This window comes from Homo sapiens, chromosome 7 (assembly GCF_000001405.40).
Source record: "Homo sapiens chromosome 7, GRCh38.p14 Primary Assembly".
In the NCBI taxonomy this organism is placed as follows: Eukaryota; Metazoa; Chordata; class Mammalia; order Primates; family Hominidae; genus Homo; species Homo sapiens.
The window spans coordinates 40,472,838-40,492,468 of record NC_000007.14 but is presented as its reverse complement, the minus strand read 5'-3'; the positions used below and the strand labels follow the sequence as shown (position 1 = coordinate 40,492,468).

Sequence of the window (19,631 nt, the reverse complement as noted above, 5' to 3'; positions counted from 1 at the left end):
GACTGACCTACTCAGCACTGATGCGGACAATGGGCTGATGTAGGTGAGACTAGAGATGTATGGCTGACGTAGATGAGAAACTTGACAGGAGGCAACATACGCTTTGCCTCTGATGCATCCAAAATCTGCTGATTAGTAGTATCTTCCATATTATTATCAATAACAAAAACAAGTTCCCATTTGAAAAAAAAATTGTTTTCTAGACATTCCTAACCCTTTTAATTACTCTTATATATCTGTTTTCAATCCACCATCACTCCCGAGCCTCTGAAATCTGGTTTGGTCATGAATGCCTTTTCTTACCCAGTCTCGAAAGGTCTCCAGTGATCATTTGTCAAATCCAATATTCTTTTCATGGTTGTCACACTACATCACTATGTAGTATTTGATGATGTTAACTATTCTACCTGGAGTTCTTGTGACACCATTCTCCCTTGGTTTCCTAGATTATTATTTATTTATTTATTTATTTATTTTTGGAAACAGAGTTTTGCTCTATCGCCCAGGCTGGAGTTCAGTGGTGCAATCTCGGCTCACTGCAACCTCGACCTCCCAGGTTCAAGCGATTCTCCAGCCTCAGCCTCCCAGATAGCTGGGATTACAGGTGCCCACCACCACGCCTGGCTAATTTTTGTATTTTTAGTAGAGACAGGTTACACCATGTTTGCCAGACTGGTCTCAAACTCCTGACCTCAGGTGATCCTCCTGCCTTGGCCTCCCAAAGTGCTGGAATTACAGGCATGAGCCACCACACCCGGCCCTCCCTTGGTTCTCTAAATACTGCTTTGGATATTTGTGCTTTTTTTTTTGACACTCCCAGTACTCTTTGTTCTCTTTTACTCACCTAAGCCATCTTGTCATCTCTATGCAGATGACATCCAAATCCATATTACCAGCCCAGACCTTTTTTTCCCTAGTTCCCTTTTTCTAAGTATCATAGGATAATTCCATTCAGATGCATTAGCATCCCCATGATATCATGACCACGGAAGATTTTATGATTTCCATTTCCTTCATAAACCTAGGATTCCTCACTTGCCAGAACTCACACCCTTGGCTAAACCTGGAACTCCTTCCTTTTCATCATTTCTTACAACTTAGATACAATTGCCTTATAGAATCAACTACTCCTCCATTCGCACTGTAACTATCACAGTCCTGGCCCTTGATTCCGCACACCCAGACTATAGCAATATCTGGTTAAAAACATATTGCCTCCAATATTCCTCCTTCCAAAAAGTCACCAATGTTAGTTGTATCTCAAGTCTGTTTGACTGTCTCCTTCCCCAGTACCACTATCTTCTCTCACACTAAAAACAGACTGTTACTTGACTGCCATTTACACAGTAATTAGAAGATAACTGGCACTCAGTATTTGCTGAATGAGTGAATATATGATGATTTGGAAAGAATAAGAGTCTCTCAGTGACATTAGTTTGAATTAATGTGGTACATAATTGTCTCCTAAAACCTTGGAAAGACTATGTTTAATCAGACCCAGACACTGAGAGAAGGACGACAATTTGAGACTCTTAGATTAAAATGGAATAGCACAGCATCTCCTCTTAATTTTTCTTTGAGACCAGTCCCTAAATTCTGTATGTCTTGCAGAAAATCTTGCAGTATGTCTTAGGGAAAAAAAATTCACATTTCAAAAACTGACTAACATAAAAATGCTTAAAACATCATGTTTCAATTTAGGGACTTCCTATACTTTCCAGAGTCATAAGATCTCAGGAATTCAAATGACCTTAAAAATCCATTCTTTTAGAGTGACAGCAGCAAGATGAAGGAATAGGCATTGTATAGCTGAACTCCTCCACAAAGAAATCCAACTAGTAACTAACATCAGGCAAAAGTACCAGTCTGAATATTCAAGGACTTGAGAGGCTGAGACATCCTATTGCACCAAAAAACTGAGAAAAACTGTAATGAAATGGTAAGAAGAACAATTCTCTGGCCCTGTCACTTCTCTCCCAAGCCAAAACAGCACCACACACTGTGAATTGCCCTACATTCACAATTTCTGCAGTGGGAAAAGTGGAACTCAAAGCAGACATTCAGGTTCCCCACCATTCCGAGATCTCATGAGAAATTTTGAGAGTACCAGCAGGGCTAGACCACCTAGGCTCAGTTAGAAACAAAGCACAGGGTTGGAGCTCATAGCAACAAATATACAAACCCTGGTGGTTGCTCTGCATTCTGGCCAGTGAAGGTACCACACAAGAGAAACTAGCCAAAAACATTATGCTGCAGGAAACACAGACCACAGGTCTTCCAGGCTTGAACCCACGAACAGCCTCCACACAAAGCTGGTGCTCTCATTGAGTCTTCCTCAGATTGATTCCAGACAGCTTCTGTACCAGCTGTATAAGTCAAGGAACTCAAGCCTGGGTGGCACTGGCCATGGTTGTCCTGGGCTTAGAGCTCCTTCTAGTGCTGCAATAGCTATAGTGATCATAGGCTTTGGGACCACTACAGTGGGTCTGCTCAAGATTTCTGGACAGGTTTACTGTTGAGGAACATTACTAGGCATAACCAGATGGTGAGGACTGTAACAAATATCTCCTTCAATTCACAGGCATCAAAACACAACCACAAGGATCAGGAACAATCAGGGAAACATGACATCACCAAACGGACAAAATAAGGTGCTGGGGACTGACCTTGAAGAGATAGAGATCAGTGAAGTGCATGACAAAGTATTCAAAATAGCAGTTTGTGTGTGTGTGTGTTTTTTGTTTTGTTCTGTTGTTTGTTTTTGTTTTTTGTTTTTTGTTTTGTTTTTTGAGACAGAGTCTCGCTCTGTCACCAGGCTAGAGTGCAGTGGTGTGATCTTGGCTCACTGCAACCTCGACCTCCTGGGTTCAAATGATTCTCCTGCCTCAACCTCCTGAGCAGCTGGGACTACAGGCATGCACCACCACATCCAGCTAATTTTTGTATTTTTAGTAGAGATGGGATTTCACCATATTGTCCAGGATGGTCTCTATCTCTTGACCTCAGGTGATCCTCCTGCCTCGGCCTCCCAAAGTTCTGGGATTAAAGGCGTGAGCCACCACGCCTGGCCCAAAATAGCAGTTTTAAGGAAGCTCAGTGAACTTAAAGAAAATACAGAGAAACAAATATCAGAGAAATGTAACAGAGAAATTAAAATAATTTTTAAAAATCCCAAATCCTGGAGGTGAAAATGAAGTGAACCCCACCCCAAAAAAAAAAAACTGCAATAGAGAACATTAAAAAAAGAATTAACCAAGTAGAAGAAACATCTGTGAATTCAAAGTCAGATTATTTGAAAATATACGGGCAGTGGAGAAAAAGAAAAAAAAATGAAGAATGCTTAATGGAGGTATGAGACCACATTAAAAGAGCAGTTGTTGGCATTCAAGAGAGTGGAGAAAGGTAAAGGGGTACAACCACATTTAAAGAAATAACAGCAGGAAACCTCCCAAGCCTGGAGAAAGATATAAATATTTGTTCATGGAAAAATCAAAGATCTCCAAACAGATTTCATCAAAATCAGGCTAACCAAATATATATTATAATCAAACTGTCAAATATCAAAACCATAGAGAGGATACTGAAAGCAACAAGAGAAAAGAAGCAATTAACATATAAGCAACTTTCAATACACCTGGCAGAAGATTTCTCAACAGAAACATTTACAGGTCAGGAGAGAGTGAGATGATATATTTAACACATGGAAGGAAAATAACCATCAACCAGGAATACTGTACCCAGCATGTTATCCTTCAGAAATAAAGGAGAAATAAAGACTTTTCTAGACACATAAAAGCTAAGGAAATCCATCCTGCCTTACCAGAAATGCTAAAGATCGTTCTTCAAGCTGAAAGAAAAGGACATGAGTGAGTAATATGAAAAATCTGAAGTATAAAACTCACTGATAAAAGTAAGTACACAATCAAATTCAGAATATACTCATATGGTAATGATGGTGTGTAAATTACTTATATCTTTAGAATGAAGGTTAAAAGATAAAACTATTAAAAACAATAACAACTATGATAATTCGTTAAAGAATATGGAATGTAATGTGATGAATGTTGTGACATCAAAAATTCAACATGTGGAGAAGAGGGAGTGAAGTGAAAATGTAGAGTTTTTTGTTGTTGCAATCAAAAATTGTTATTAACTACAATAATGTGCTATAACTATTGTTACGTGCTATAACTATTACAAAAATCATAAGTTCTTGTAAACTTCATGGTATTCACAAAGAAAAAATACACAAAAAGTAAAAAACAAGAAATTAAAACATACTACTAGAAAAAAATTCAAATAACCACAAAGGAAGACAGCAAGAGAGAAAGAAAAGAAAAAGAATCTACAAAACAACTACAAAACAATGACTGAAATGGCAGTATTAACTCCATACCTATCTGTAAGTACATCGAATTTGTTGGATTAAATTCTTCCAAAAAAAAAAAGAGCAGAGTAGTTGAATGAATTAAAAATAAATAAATAAATAAAAGTAAAAGGAAAGAAAAACCAGTTGGTTTTCTTTTCTTTCTCTTGTAGTATGCTGACTAGAAGAGACTCCCTTCATCTTTAAGGATACCCACAGACTGAAAGTGAAGGAATGGAAAAATATATTGCACACAACTGAAAACCGAAAGAAAGCAAGAGTTCCTAGACTCAGAAAAAAATAGGCTTTAATGCAAAAACTGTAAAGACAATAGAGAAGGACCTTATATAATAATAATGGAGTCACTTCAGCAAGAGGACATAACAATTGTAAATACATATGTACCCAAATCAGAACACCTAAATACATAAAGTAAATATGAATAGTTCTAAAAGGAGAGATTAACGGCAATACAATAGTAGTAAAAGATTTTAATATGACATTTTAAAAAATAAACATATCATCTAGACAGAAAATCAACAAGGAAACATTAGACTTAATAATGATCTAGGCCAAATGGAAATATATATATGTAGAACATTCCATCCAACACATTCTTCTCTACTACATGTAAAATATTCTCCAGGACAGATCATATATTAGCCTACAAAACAAGTCTTAAAAAATTTAAGATTCAGCCAGGCATGGTGGCTCACGCCTGTAATCCCAGCACTTTGGGAGGCTGAGGCAGGTGGATCTCATGTGGTCAGGAGTTCGAGACCAGCCTGGCCAACATGGTGAAATCCCTTCTCTACTAAAAATACAAAAAAAAAAAAAAAAAAAAAAAAAAAACAGCTGGGTGTGGTGGCACATGCCTGTAATCCCGGCTACCTGGAAGGCTGTGGTAGAAGAATCACTTGAACCTGGGCGGTGGAGATTGCAGTGAGCCGAGATCGTGCCATTGCACTCCAGCCTGGGCAACAACAGTGAAACTCTGTGTCAAAAAAAAAAAAAAAAAAAAAAAGATTGAAATCATATGAACTATCTTTTCTGACCAAAATAGTATAAAAATAGATATCAGTAATAGCGGAAACTTTAGAAAATTCACAAATGGAAATAAAACAACATGCTCCTGAACATGCTCCTTAACAAGAGTTAAGAGCAGCCTGGGAAACATAGTGAGACCCTATTTCTACAGAAAAAAAAAAGTTAGCCAGGTGTGGTAGAATTTGTAGAATTTGCTTATAGTACAAGGAGGCTGGGGCAGGAGGAGCGCTTTAGCCCAGGAGTTTGAGGTTATAGTAAGCTATGATTATACCACTGCATTCTAGCCTGGACAACAGTGCAAGACTTCACTTCAATTGAAAAAAAAAAAAAAGGAAGGAAGAAAAATGAAAGAAAAATTATAAAATTTCTTGACGTGAATATAAATGGATACACAACATACCAAAACCTATGAAACACAGCAAAAGCAGTACTAAGAGGGAAGTTTATAGCAGTAAGTGTCTACATCAAAAAGTAAAAAGATTAACAATAAACAATCTAATCATGCACCTCATGGAACTAAAAAAGCAAAAACAGACCAACCCCAAAATTATAAATCAATGGAAATATTAAAAATCAGAGCAGAAATAAATGAATAGGAACTACAAAAAATAAAAATAAAAAAGCAACAAAACAAAGAATTGGCTTTTGAAAAGATAAACTCAACAAATCATTGAGGGGTCCAAGTTCTTTAAAGAAGAAGACTCAAATAAATAAAATCCAAAAACATTTAAAAAGACATTACAACTGACATCACAAAATACAAATGATCATGAGAGATTATTACAAACAATCATGTGCCAGCATATTGGATAACCTAGAAGAAACAGATACATTCCTAAATATACTCAACCTACCATAATTGAATTATAATGAAACAATATCAGTAATAAAAAGTCTGCCATCAAAGAAGAGCCCAGGACCTGATGGTTTCACAGCTGAATTCTACAAAACAGTTAAAGAACAAATACCAATTATTCTCAAACTCTTCCAAAAACTGAAGAGGAAAGAATACTTTCAAACTCATTTTACAAGGCCAGCATTACTCTGATACCAATACCAGACAAAAACACAAAAATAAAAGAAAATTACAGGCCAATATCCCTGATGACCATAGATGCAAAAGTCCTCAACAAAATACTAGCAAATGGAGTTCAACAGCATATTAAAACGATTATCCCAGGGATACAAAGATGGTTCAACCTAATGTATGTCAATAAACCTGATACATCACACTAACAGAATAATCATTTCACTTGATGCAGAAAAAGCATTTGACTAAATTTGACAAAACTCAACATCCCTTCATGATAAAAACCCTCCACAAATTAGGTATACATGAGACCAGGCACAGTGGCTCATGCCTGTAATTCTGGCACTTTGGGAGGCCAAGGCAAGAGGATCCCTTGAGCTTAGGAGTTTGAGGCTAGCCTGGCAAAATCCATTCTCTACAAAAAATACAAAAATTAGCTAGGCATGGTGGTGACTGCCTGTAGGTCCAGCTACTTGGAAGGCTGAGGTGAGAGCACCACTTGAGCTTGGGAGGTTGAGGCTACAATGAGCCATGATCATGCCACTACATTCCAGCCTGGGTGAAAGAGCAAGACCGAGTCTCCAAAAAAAAAAAAAAAAAAAAAAAAAGAATGTATATAGATATATATATACCTATATTATCTAGATATATAGACAGACACATATATTTGAAAATAAAATTCCATTGTTTTCTACATTCCTTCAAAGTCATTGTCTGATGTATATTAAAAATATTACTAATAATAGGAAATTCACAGGCAGTCAGGTTACTGGAAGTCTTCAAACAAACACAGGAAGTGTGCTACAATACACATGAGTTTTGAATAGATTTGGGTTAGAGTCACAAGCCCAATTATCAATAGGATCTTCATAAAAATCTTAACTAATTAAGATTAACTTTTTAAAAATGAACCATTTATTAAGCATTTAGTAAATGCAAGGCTCTGTGCTAAGCTACTAGTACACATTACTTCACTTAATTCTTCCAACATCCTGTGGGGTAAGTATTAATACCATCATTATGTTCACTTTAAAGATAAGCAAATCAAGGTTTAGAAAATTTAAGTTACCTTTTAAATTCACGTAAACATTATGCACCAAGCAGAAATTCTATCTTGGGTCCAATGCTCATGTGTTAATCACCACCTTCTACTGCTTGACTTCTGGTGGTGAAGTTCATGAAAGTAGACCACACAAAGCTCTGTAAGTGATGTGGTGCTAAAGGCCAGTCCCACAGAGGGCTTAAAAAGGCAGTAGGTTTTTAAAATACAGTATCTTAGTGCTACATTAACTGAAGCCTTTTATGTACCAGGCACCACAAGAAATACTATTTCTAGTCCTCCTATGACATGAGTTTTATGATCTTCATGATTTAGGAAACTGAGGCTTAGAGAAGTAGATAGGGCAATGTCTGGATCTGAAGGCTCAAATCTCTTAGCTGGAGGAGATCTTGAATTGGTATTTCTCTAGGTTCATTCAGTAGGGTAGACTCATTAGATATTAACAAAAATGCAAACAAACTCTAAGATATAGGACCACCCTTAGGCCACTGGCAATTGAGCTACTGTCCGCCCCCAAGGCCACTTGGGAGCACTGGGAGTGTTGCCTGGGCTCTACCCATCCCTGACTTCTTTCCAACTAACCACTGATCAACCCAATGGTTCCAAAATGTCTCATAATATTGGCAACGATTTTATGAACTGATTCTTTCAAGAATGCTGTGAGAAAAGACAAATGCTTCCTATTTGGAATATGAAAAATTGAAGTATTAAGATACTCACATTCAAGTCTGTACACTCCAGGCCCATAGCCCATCTCACTACACACTGCTGCCTTATATAGAAGATAATCAATAAATCAATAAATAAAATTCATTGAGAAGATAAGTCTGACATTTAATCTTAATCTACTTTTGTGACCATGGGCAAGTTGCTTAATTTCTCTGAGCTCCAATTTTCTCATTTGTTCTAAGGAAATTATAGTAGTTGTAAATTGCTTAGCACACTGCATAGTAACAGTAAATATCATTTACTTATCAGTGATTTCCTAAGGGTAGACAGAGAAAGAAGCAGAGCCTCTCAGTCAGAAACTAGACACATTTTCAGCTGTATTAGATTTTGCCCAATTGCACTTTAAAGTAATTGATGCCATTCACTACTTCCACCATGCTCAATATTCTCACCAACTTTTGCTATTGTCCGATAGAGGGAGCATGGTATATCTCATGGTTATTTATAGTTCCCACAGTTGGAGAAATTAAGCATCTTTTCATGGGACTAAGGGTCATCAGATGTTGAGGGTTGTCCTGTTTTATTCTTTTTTTTTTTTTCAGTGAAACTGTCTTCTTATGGACTTACAGGAATTTTGTACTAGTCTAGAAATAAATCCTTTATCAGTTACATAAATTACAAATTTCTTCTCCTGGACTATAGCTTCTCTTTTAATTACCTTTTTCATATAGGAGCTACTTTAATTCCACAAATTATTACTCTTGTCCTTCAAGGTTTTTGCTTTTGTGTTGGTTTAAAAAATAGTGCCTATCTCATAAGCTTATTATGATAAGTTAAATGAATTAACACTTTGAAAGTATTCAGAACAGTGCACAGTACAAGTAAGTGCTATATAAGTGTTAAATAAACAAAACTACACTAACATTTGTGGGGAGGCAAACTGTTGGCAGGGAAGCAGAAGACACTAGAGAAGAAGAAGTTTTTAGGAACAAAAACTTGGTACAGGGGTGCATTCCATACATGCATTACCTATACGAAATGTCCCTTTGGACAAATCTGAGTAAATCCAAATCAAACCAACAAGGCTCTGTAAGATCCAGCCTCGAGTCTACAATTCAGTAACTATAAACAGGCCTGTGACACTTCTGTAACCCACAGAGAAACAGCTGGAATTTGTTGGTCGGCATTTCTACCGTAAACAGAATCACAGATTTAATATTTCCTGTAATTTCCTCAGATCTTATTTCCTCTTAGGAATTATCTCTACATATTACTGATAAATTATGGTTAAAGTTATCTTTTCTCCCCCTAGCATTTATGAGCTCTCCATTGTCTGCATGTCAATTTGCAGGCCACACAAAAGATGGAGTAAGAGTCCAACAAGGAATCTAGGCACTGCTTTCAATCTCAAGATGGCTCAGTACATTCCATATAACTTGCTCTTAAAAACAACAGTTATGTGGGTTAATGTATTAAGATTCACAGTTATTATGAACACATTAACAATTCTCGTCCATACTAATCATTCACAGTTCAGACGTAAACTGTTTTTTGTAAAGATTCTGAATAAAATGTGGATCACATATTACAATGGTTTGGCCTGACCAGAATTGCTATGACCGTCCATACAACCTAAGCTGTGTGAATGGAAACATAATATAGGAAAGTTACCCACATTACCGACGTCTGGTCACACCTCACACCAGAGGCTGCTTATACTAAAAAATAAGTCTTTTTAATTAGGACCTCTTTGTGAAGAACTACTGGTAAAGTAATACCAAATTATTAAAGAAAAAATATTTAAATATCGACAGAGAGAAAAGAAGAAATAAAATCAACTATAACCTTACCACATAGAAATAATTTTGGTTTATGCATAATTTTAGCATTTTTGTATAAATTGTGGATGTTTACTTTTTATTCTTTTCTCCATACCATGATTCTGTAACAAATGTATATTTATAACATTAAAAAATGATCATAATGTTTTGTAACCATTTTAAACTTACCAGTCATATGTTCTGGTCCAGAAATAGTTACCTACTATGGCTGAAGAATATTCACTATAAGGGTCTATCATAAGTTACTTGAGCTAACCTGTGATATTTACATTTTATTTTCCTAAAATTTCTGAGTACTTCTTCAATAAACATCATTGCAGATACAGCTCTATACATGATCTTATTTCACTACAATCCATTCTTGGAAAGGGAAATCTTTTAAATATGTATCATTTTAAAACATTTTAATATTTATTCACGGAACAAGTTTCATTGAATTCCTAGTAAATACAAGGCATTGTGTAGGGTTACAGCAGTGAACAAAATAGACAAAAGTCCTCATCTCCAAGATTGCCAAAAAGAGAGATAAATGAATAAAATCTGTATTATCTGTGGAACTGCTATGGAAAAAAGTTAAGCAGAAAAATAAAGCCCTTTGTGAAGAGTTGCACTTTTTAACAGGGTAACTTAAGGTCTCAATGAGAAGAGTAAGTGTCAAATGCATTATATAAGCAGTTTCTCTCACCAAAACTCAGTATTATAATTTTTATCATTGATTTGATTATTTTCCAAGTGTTATAGGGAAAAAGGGGGCATCTCGCTGATTACTAATGCTTACAGTTATTTACACATCTTATTTTACAAAATCCCTGGTTATATCTTTTTGATGATTTTCTATTGGGTTATTATTTTCTTATAAATGTGTAGATGATTTTTATATTAAGTACGTTAGACCGGCTTTGTATTTACCTTAAGTTTTTATTGATGGTGGTTTTTAATGTGCAGAACTTCTAGAATACTTCTGGCTCTCAAGGACATAGGTAATGATAAAATTAGAATATCCCACAATTTCTCATTTGCTTTATTCTACATCATATACATAATAATCTCATAATAAATATCTTAATCCTACCACATATAGGAAATATTATATATATATAATATATATATCTTTTCTTGAGGTAGGGTCTCACTCTGTCACCTAGGCTGCAGCGCAATTGTGCAATCATAGCTCACTGCAGCCTGAAACACCTGGGATCAAGTGATCCTCACGGGTCAGCCTCTCGAACGGGTGGGACTACAGGTGCACGCCACCATGCCTAGTTAATTTTTATATTTTTTGTAAACACAGAGTTTTGTCATGTTGCCTAGGCTGGTCTCGAACTCCTTCCTGGCTTCAAGCAATCCTCCTGGCTTCAAGCAATCCTCCCACCTCAACCTCCCAAAGTGCTGGGATTACAGGCATGGGCCACTGCACCAGACTTGATTTTTTAAAAAATGTTGATTATGCTGCCCCCATGTTTAATGGTCATATTATATCTATGTGTCTACATGAAGTATATGCTCATTGCATATTCTGTTCTTACTCTTTGACTCTTATTTAGCCATTCTTGAGTGTGTGTCTCTGGGTGTATGTATGTGTGTATAAATTAAACACACCACCAATCTATAGATCACTACCTCTCCGGGCACTTTTGTGGTCTGAAGCTTATTCTCCAATACATTACTCAGTTATATGAACAGTAGTAACAAAAAATAAAATTAAACAATAGGGAAAAAAAATCAACCAGAAAATTAAAAGACGTGTACACTAAAAATTATACAACATTAATGTAGAATATTAAAGAAGATACAGAAATACACCCTATGTTCATGGATTAGAAGAAATAATATCAATAAAATGAGTATTTTATCCAAAGTAATCTACAGATTTAATATAAACCCTATCAAAATGTCAACGGCATTCTTTACAGAAATAGAAAAAGAAATCCAAGTATTTATATGGAACTATGAAAGACTATAGCCAAAGCAATCTTGAGCAGGAAAAGCAAAACTGGCGGCATCTCACTTCCCAATTTCAAAATAGATCACAAAACTACAAAAAATCAAAACAATGTGGTAATGGCATAAAAATAGACACATAAATCAATGGAACAGAATAGAGAGTCTAGAAATAAATCCATGCATCTACAGTGAAATGATCATCACAGGGATGCCACGAACATAGAATAGGGAAGAGATAATCTCTTCAAAAAATGGTGGTGAGAAAACTATATATCCACAGGCAGAAGAAAGAAATTTGACTTGTATCTGACACCGTACACAAAAATCAACTCACAATGGATTAAAGACTAAAACATAAGACATAAAACGATATAACTAATAGAAAAAGATGGGGGGAAAGTTTCCTAATATTGGCCTGAGAAACAATTTTTTAGATTATGGCCATAAAAGCACTAGCAACAAAAGCAAAAATAGACAAATGAGATTATATCAAACTAAAAAGTCTCTGTACAGCAAAGAAAATAATCAATTGAGTGAAGAGATGATGTACAGAATGAGAGAAAATATTTACAAACCATATATTTAAGGGATAATCTTCCAAAATATATAAGGAACTAATACATCTCCATAGCAAATATAAATAAATAACCCAATGTAAAAACAAGCAAAGGACTTAAATAGGCATTTCATAAAAGAAGACGTACAAATGACCAACAGATATATAAAAAGGTGCTCAACTTCGCTATGTCAGGGAAATATTAATCATAGTCACAGGGAGATATCACCTCAAATCTGTTATAATGACTGCTATCAGAAAAAAATAACAAGTGTGGCAGGGACATAGAGAAAAGGGAACTCTTCTCACTGTTGGTGGGAATGTAAATTGGTACAGCCATTTTGACAAACAGGGAAGCTCTCAAACATTAGAAATAGAACTACTTTGTAATTCAGCCATCTCACTTCTAGGTATACAGTCATACATCACTTAATACAGAAATGCATTGCTAAGTAATTCATCATATAAGAACACGTACATGGAGTGTACTTACACAAACCTAGATGGAACAGCCTACCACACACCTAGGCTATAAGCTATAGTCTATTGCTGCTAGGCTACAAACCTGTACAGCATGTTATTGTATGAATATTGTGTCTAAACATATCTAAACAAAGAAAAGGAACAACAAAAATTCATTATTATAATCTTATGGGACCGCTATGCTACATTCAGACTGTCATTGATTGAAACACTGTTATGTGGTACATGATTATATACCCAAAAGATATGAACCGGTATCTCAAAGAGATATCTTCACTCTCATGTTCATTTCAGCATGCTTAACAAAATCCAAGATAAGAAAACAACCTAAGCAAGTGTCCATCAGTGGATAAATGGATAAAGAAAATAAGGTGCACAAACATATATATGTGTGTGTATATATATAGGTACACATACACACACACAGTGGACTATCATTCAGTCATAAAAAATAAAGAAATTCTGTCATTTGCTGAAACACAGATGAACCCAGAGGACAATATATAAAGTTAAATAAGTCAGACACAGAAAGACAAATACTATATGACCTCATATATATGTGGAATTCCATATATATATCGAATCGATTTGATTTGACATTATATGGTATATTAACATGGATTAGATTAATATTAGATTTGATTATGGGAGAGGGATATCTTGCTCAAGGGGTACAAAGTTTCTGTTATGAGGACAAATACGTTCTGGAGATATAGTAAACAACGTGACTGCAGTTAACGATACTTTATTCTGTACTTGAAATTTGCCAAAAGGTTAGATCTTCAGTTAACTACACACACAAAAACAGTGCTAACCTGCTGCAGTGAAAAATGTGTATATTAGCTTGATTGTGGTGATTACTTCAAAATGCATATGTATATCAAATCACAACACTGCACCCCTTAAATATATACAATATTTATTTGTTAAATACACCTTTAAAAAACCCAGCAATACATCTTTAAATAGGCGAGCCAGGATTTGTCTCCATCATGACCTTACAGTATCTTAAGTCTTTAAGCCTTAGTTTCATCATCAATAAAAGCACATAATGATGATTCCTACCTCGCGCAAGTTTCGTGAAGTTTAAATAAAATATATGTGATGTAAATTAAAGCCTTATTTTTGTGCCTGGCACAGGTAGTAAGTACTAGATAGAAATTAGGAGGCCAGACATGGTGGCTCATGCCCATAATTCCAGTGCTTTGGGAGGCTGAGGAGGGAAGATCACTTGAGGCCAGGAGTTCAAGACAAAGCTAGGCAACAAAGCAAGACCCTGTCTCTGGAAAAAAAAATTTAAAAAATTAGCCAGGCATGGTGGCGTATGCCTGTAATGCCTGTAGTACCAATGACTCAGGAGGCTTAGGCAGGAGGATCCCTTGAGCCCAAGAGTTTGAGGCTGCAGTGAGCTATGACTGCACCTCTGCCCTCCAGCCTGGGCAACACAGCAAGAACCTCTCTCCTAAAGGTGGGGGAAAAAAAAGCCCAAACAATAATTTGTTGGGGATGCTGTTGTCAGACTTCTTGCCCTAAAATCTATTTGTTCTCTATTGACATACTGGAAAGATTAATAATCAAGCTAAAGTCACTTCAACTGCACATTCAGACTCTAAGCAACATATCAAACATAACCTAAATTCAAGTATATGGTAATGGAAAGCAACACGCCAGAATATACAAGCCTACAACTTCTCTTTGATTTTTCTGTTTTGAAACCCTATTTTTAATATGTCCCCACTGAATTTAATTTAAACTTATTAAAATAAAGAAATTTTCAAGTGAAGCATAAAAATTTACTATTTTACATTTACCCATTTTCTCATTTGCTGCCTTCCATGCATAAATTAGTCTTAGGAATGGGAACATTATTTTCTTACTGTACATAATACACCAACATGAAAATGGTATACAGAAAAGAGGCATAGGATAGAAAATGTTATTTTTTATTCCAAAAGATTCCAAAGGTAGAATAAATTTTGCCGACAATGTCATTCCACCCAAGGAACCCTGAAGAGAGGTAATCCAACCCGCTTTTGCATGTATACAGTACAGGAAGTGCTCTTCCAGGAAATACTACTACATTCAGAAAGAAGTCACTTTTGGAAATCTCTAAATAAGACTCCAACTCCCCAGTCTTGCTGCTCTCTGTCCACCCTCCCTAACTCCACCCAGACTAGTCTTGTTTCCTTTAAATTATTCATTTCCTTTAAATGACTCCTAAAGATGATATCTCTATTTACAGAACTATCACTCAAATAATTCAAATATTTTATAAATATGAATGTATAATATGATAATAAAATCCAATAAAATTGGCCTTGAGGATGTTATCTTTCCTATACATATAGCATTATTATGAGAAACATGGAAGTAATTTATCTCAAATACTGTTTCTCTATATTAATTGAAGAATAAACACATTAAAGCTAAGATGAGTGCTCTCATTTGCAAAAACTAGTTTAAATGTTGTTTGTGATATTAAAAGCCGACATTTGGCTGGGCGCAGTGGCTCACACCTGTCCCAGGAGGACTCCAAGTACAGGGACTACTGAGGAGGCTGAGGCAGGAGAATCACTTGAACCTGAGAGGCAGAGGTTGCAGTAGGCAAGATTGTGCCATTGCACTCCAGCCTTGGCAACAGAGTGAGACTGTCTCAAAAAAAAAAAAAGAATGAGAACTATAAATCTTTTCATTCAGTTTGATTGAATCATTCCATTTGTACAGTAATATTCAATATAATAATATTCTCATGACAATAAAATTCTAATAACAATAAAAATTTTAAATGCCCTAAATGCCAAAAAAAATCAAAATCCCTTAGTATACTATGAAATATTTATACAACAGGGTAGTATATGAGCCAATTGAAGTAAAAAATACAACCAATGTACACAAAATACTTGATACCATATACACAAAGAACGTTAAGCAAACGCAAAAAAAGAACTCACAATTGTTATGTGCATATGATTACATCTAACTATGCATATAAATTAAGAGAACTCCAAAAACAATTTGTGAAGAAATTTTTTCCCTCATCATCATATTTTTTTTCCTCAACGGTTTCCAAATCTTTTAAAAAAAATGGCAGATAATTAAAGCAGTCTCATGGCTTAATAGAGAGTATGTGGTGCTCCACTAACTGTAAGCACTGTGGGGCAGGAAACAGCCTCACTTGTTCCCTGTTCCACATAGCCTTGACACAGAGCCTGACATTTGACAGCTGATATTGTTATAGCATATACTATGTGTAAGGCACTGTTTTAAGTACTTTACATAGACATAGACACAGACATATACATAGACATAGACATTTAATTCCTATAACATAAGTACTACTATCATCCCCATTTTACATATGAGGGGCCTGAAGCATAGAGACATTTAAATGATTTACCAACATGACAGAGTTAGCAAGAGCCAGGATTAGAACTGAGACAGTACGAGCCCCAGAATCCATGCTCTTACCACCCCATCCCACCCCCCTGCTATACCACCTCAGTAAAAGAGGAGGTGAGCAATAAAGGGTGGATGAATTTTAGGATGGATGGATGAATGAAACAATCAATTGATGGATTGATAGATAATTTGATAGACTTATTTATAGATCAATTATTTGGGTTCACTCTCTCTGAACATGGGAAAGGAAACTGACTTAGTAGTGAGCACCTCTCTGCTCTGACACTGTTAGGTGCTTTCACATATTTCTTACTGAATCATAGTAACAATCCTGTAATATGCCTCATATTGCCTCGTTTTAAAGATGTGGAAACTGGATTTTGTAAATTTGATGTTAATTCTTGGAAAAATCCTGGGATTCGAAATGATGCTTCACAGAGTTCAAGCTCAATACATACTCATTGAATGAAAGATTGTAAAGTACTCTTTTGAAGTTTAGAAAAGGAAATAGTAAGAATTAGTCACCAATATGGTTTCCTTAAAGCAAATAATGCCAAGCCAATCTCATTTTCTATTTTGCTTGGTTTTAAACAGGTATATGAGGGATATACTATGGACAAAGTATTCCTGGATTTCACCGAAGTTACTAACAAGGTCATTCAAAATATCTTCGTGAACAAGACGGAGAAATGCAGTTTGCATAATGACACAAATGTGTGAATTTGAAGGCAGTCAAATAATACAACCAGAGCTTTCAGTTTCAACCTCAGGTAGTGAGGATGGTGTCTATTGCTGAACCCAAACAAGGACTTGGATGATGTCATGTTGGTCAGATTCGTGAAAAACAAGAAGCTAGCAGAGACAGCAATCATGTTGGTTTAAACAAGGATGATTTTATTTTAAACAGAGTGAATAAAAAATGTACTTTACCATGAAGGCACAGGAGAAATACGGTTTAGGAACTGCTAAGGTTTTGTTTAAAAGGTGATTTAGTAATGGGCACCCAATGCAAGTCAACGTGGCACATAGCTTCCAAAAAGAGTGAAAACTTAGACTTCATTAAGTGAACTCTGTTACTCAAGACAAGTTAACTACCATCACACTATGCTGCTGCCCTGGCAGACCCCTACAATATGCAGTACTTATCAAGTGCTTGCCATGTGCCAGGCCCTCTACTGTATTCACACATTTAATTCTCTCGACAATTTTAAAGGTAGGAATTACTATTATAAGCTCATTATCCCCAATTTATAGATGAAAAAATTCTGAAACACAGAAGTCACATAACTAATGTCTTAATAGGACAGGGCAAGTATTGAAAGCTGAGCAGTTTGATTCAAGCTTCAATGCTACCATGATTGCATTTAGCCTTTCTTGTCTTCTGACACTCAGAGCTGTAGAGGCTACAGATGCCCCATCCCACATCCCCTGACCAACCTGAGCTGGTCTGGGTTGTCTATTGTTTACTGGAAGTATAAACAGTTCCATGCTGCTGACAGCTTTCCTTTCCAAACGCCTGCACCTCTTCTTTGCATGTGGCTTTTCCCAAAACTATGCGAGTGTGCTGGATGGCACCTCCAGGGGAAACCATCAAACACTGGAGGATAGTAGTTGGGGGATAAATGCCCTAACATCCACACCCTCTGGTTACATGATTCCAAAGTATGTACACACAGTTTTTAGACTGTTCCCAACATGACTGAGCCCCAGCTACCCAAAATGGCAAACTGTTTATCTGCCTCACTTCCCTGCCCCTCTGCCCCCCACACTCAATACCATTTCTTGGAATCCTCTCCCTAAAAAATTAATGGTACCCAAGACCCCAGATTCGTTTTGCTTCTAGGCAAACCCTAACATACTACTCTATGCTGTTTCTGAATCTTCTCAAATCTTCTATTAACTGTGTCATTTAGTAATTAAGTAAACTACTTTAAATAATTTATATTTTTCAGCATAACATGGGTATCCCTGACATTAATTAAACATTCCTTGATTGTTTTATGTTACCAGCTAAACTACAGCTTGACATAGGGAAAGGGGGAGAAGCGGGCATGATTTTCCTCCAGGTGGCCTACCAAACATAATAGTAGCTGAGAGAGAGAGAGAGAAGGGGAAATGGTAAAAGAATGGGGGAGAAATATGAGACAGAAATTTTACATTTAATCACTATAACTCAAGTAAAAGTTAGGTTTTTACCCACCCTGTCAGCCACCCAAGGACTCTTACTTACCTGATTGGCCACCCTTGGACTCCATGCACCAAATTATAAAACTAGACCATTTGCAATAATATCTCTGAGTGAGTTCCTAAATTAATTTCTTTTTGGATATGCCCCAAGGGGGTTATTTGCATTCAAACATGTAACTCAAACTGAGCTGGCAAATTAGAAAACAATTACTTGTCCCTGGTTAAATCATGCCACCATTTTTTTTTTCTGCTCCTCCTAGTGCATTTGTGGATCACAGCCACACTCTTCTAACTTTCAGAGGACTTTTGGGAGGGGGTCAAAAGTACTATCAAAAACTCAGTCCCTGCTGCTAACCGATAGAAGGAACATTTCAGACTCAGAAACACCTTAGGCTTAGAAACATGGAGTGGGAAAAATAAAGGCTACTTAAGAGAGTATACTAAATGCAATCTTAACTTTTAACTTTAATGCACTGAAAAATAATATTTCAATCAAATATCACATCCAACTACTATTGCTATTGGGATAAAGTGATATATTTAGTAAAAATGACGTAACCAACTATCAGAAAATGATTGACATTTCTCAAATGTACAGCTTTTGCATGTGCATGTTGCTTTAAGATGCTTCATATGATTACTGTTAAAATAAGTATGTAAGATTTATTGAACAATACAGTAAACAACCACAAACAGCATGCATAAATTGTTAGTGGATTCGGCTACTTATGGCAGAAGTCATTGGTGGACTGTGTTTCATCAGAACATTCACTCTCCCACTGAAAAATGAAACATTTTGTAATACACAAACAAGAAACATGGTTCTTTTCCCTCTTACTGAGTTTATACTTTCCTTCCCATAGAAAAATCAAAGAAAGAAAAATATACAACTTTCTCAATGCATTTGTAAGGAAGAAAACTACAACTGAAAAGAAGTCAATTGTATAACACATTATTATAAGAATTTAGCCATTTCTCCTGAGTAACATAAAGCTAGAAAATACTCAGATACATGTGGCATTGATATTCACGCAAAGTGAAAGTCAAGA

At 35.9% G+C, this 19,631-nt stretch overlaps 1 protein-coding gene across 18 annotated transcripts in view, besides 1 other annotated feature; it reads right to left on the bottom strand.

The window, feature by feature from the left end:
* Positions 1-19,631, bottom strand: part of SUGCT (succinyl-CoA:glutarate-CoA transferase) — a 903,812-nt gene that overhangs the window by 546,348 nt on the left and 337,833 nt on the right. The window lies entirely within an intron of this gene.
* Positions 17,237-17,306: an enhancer, noted in NCBI's record as "active region_25892". NCBI's record gives its function as "activates an Ori minimal core promoter by ATAC-STARR-seq in GM12878 lymphoblastoid cells {active_cell/tissue: GM12878}" and the evidence as "EXISTENCE:reporter gene assay evidence [ECO:0000049][PMID:35858748]".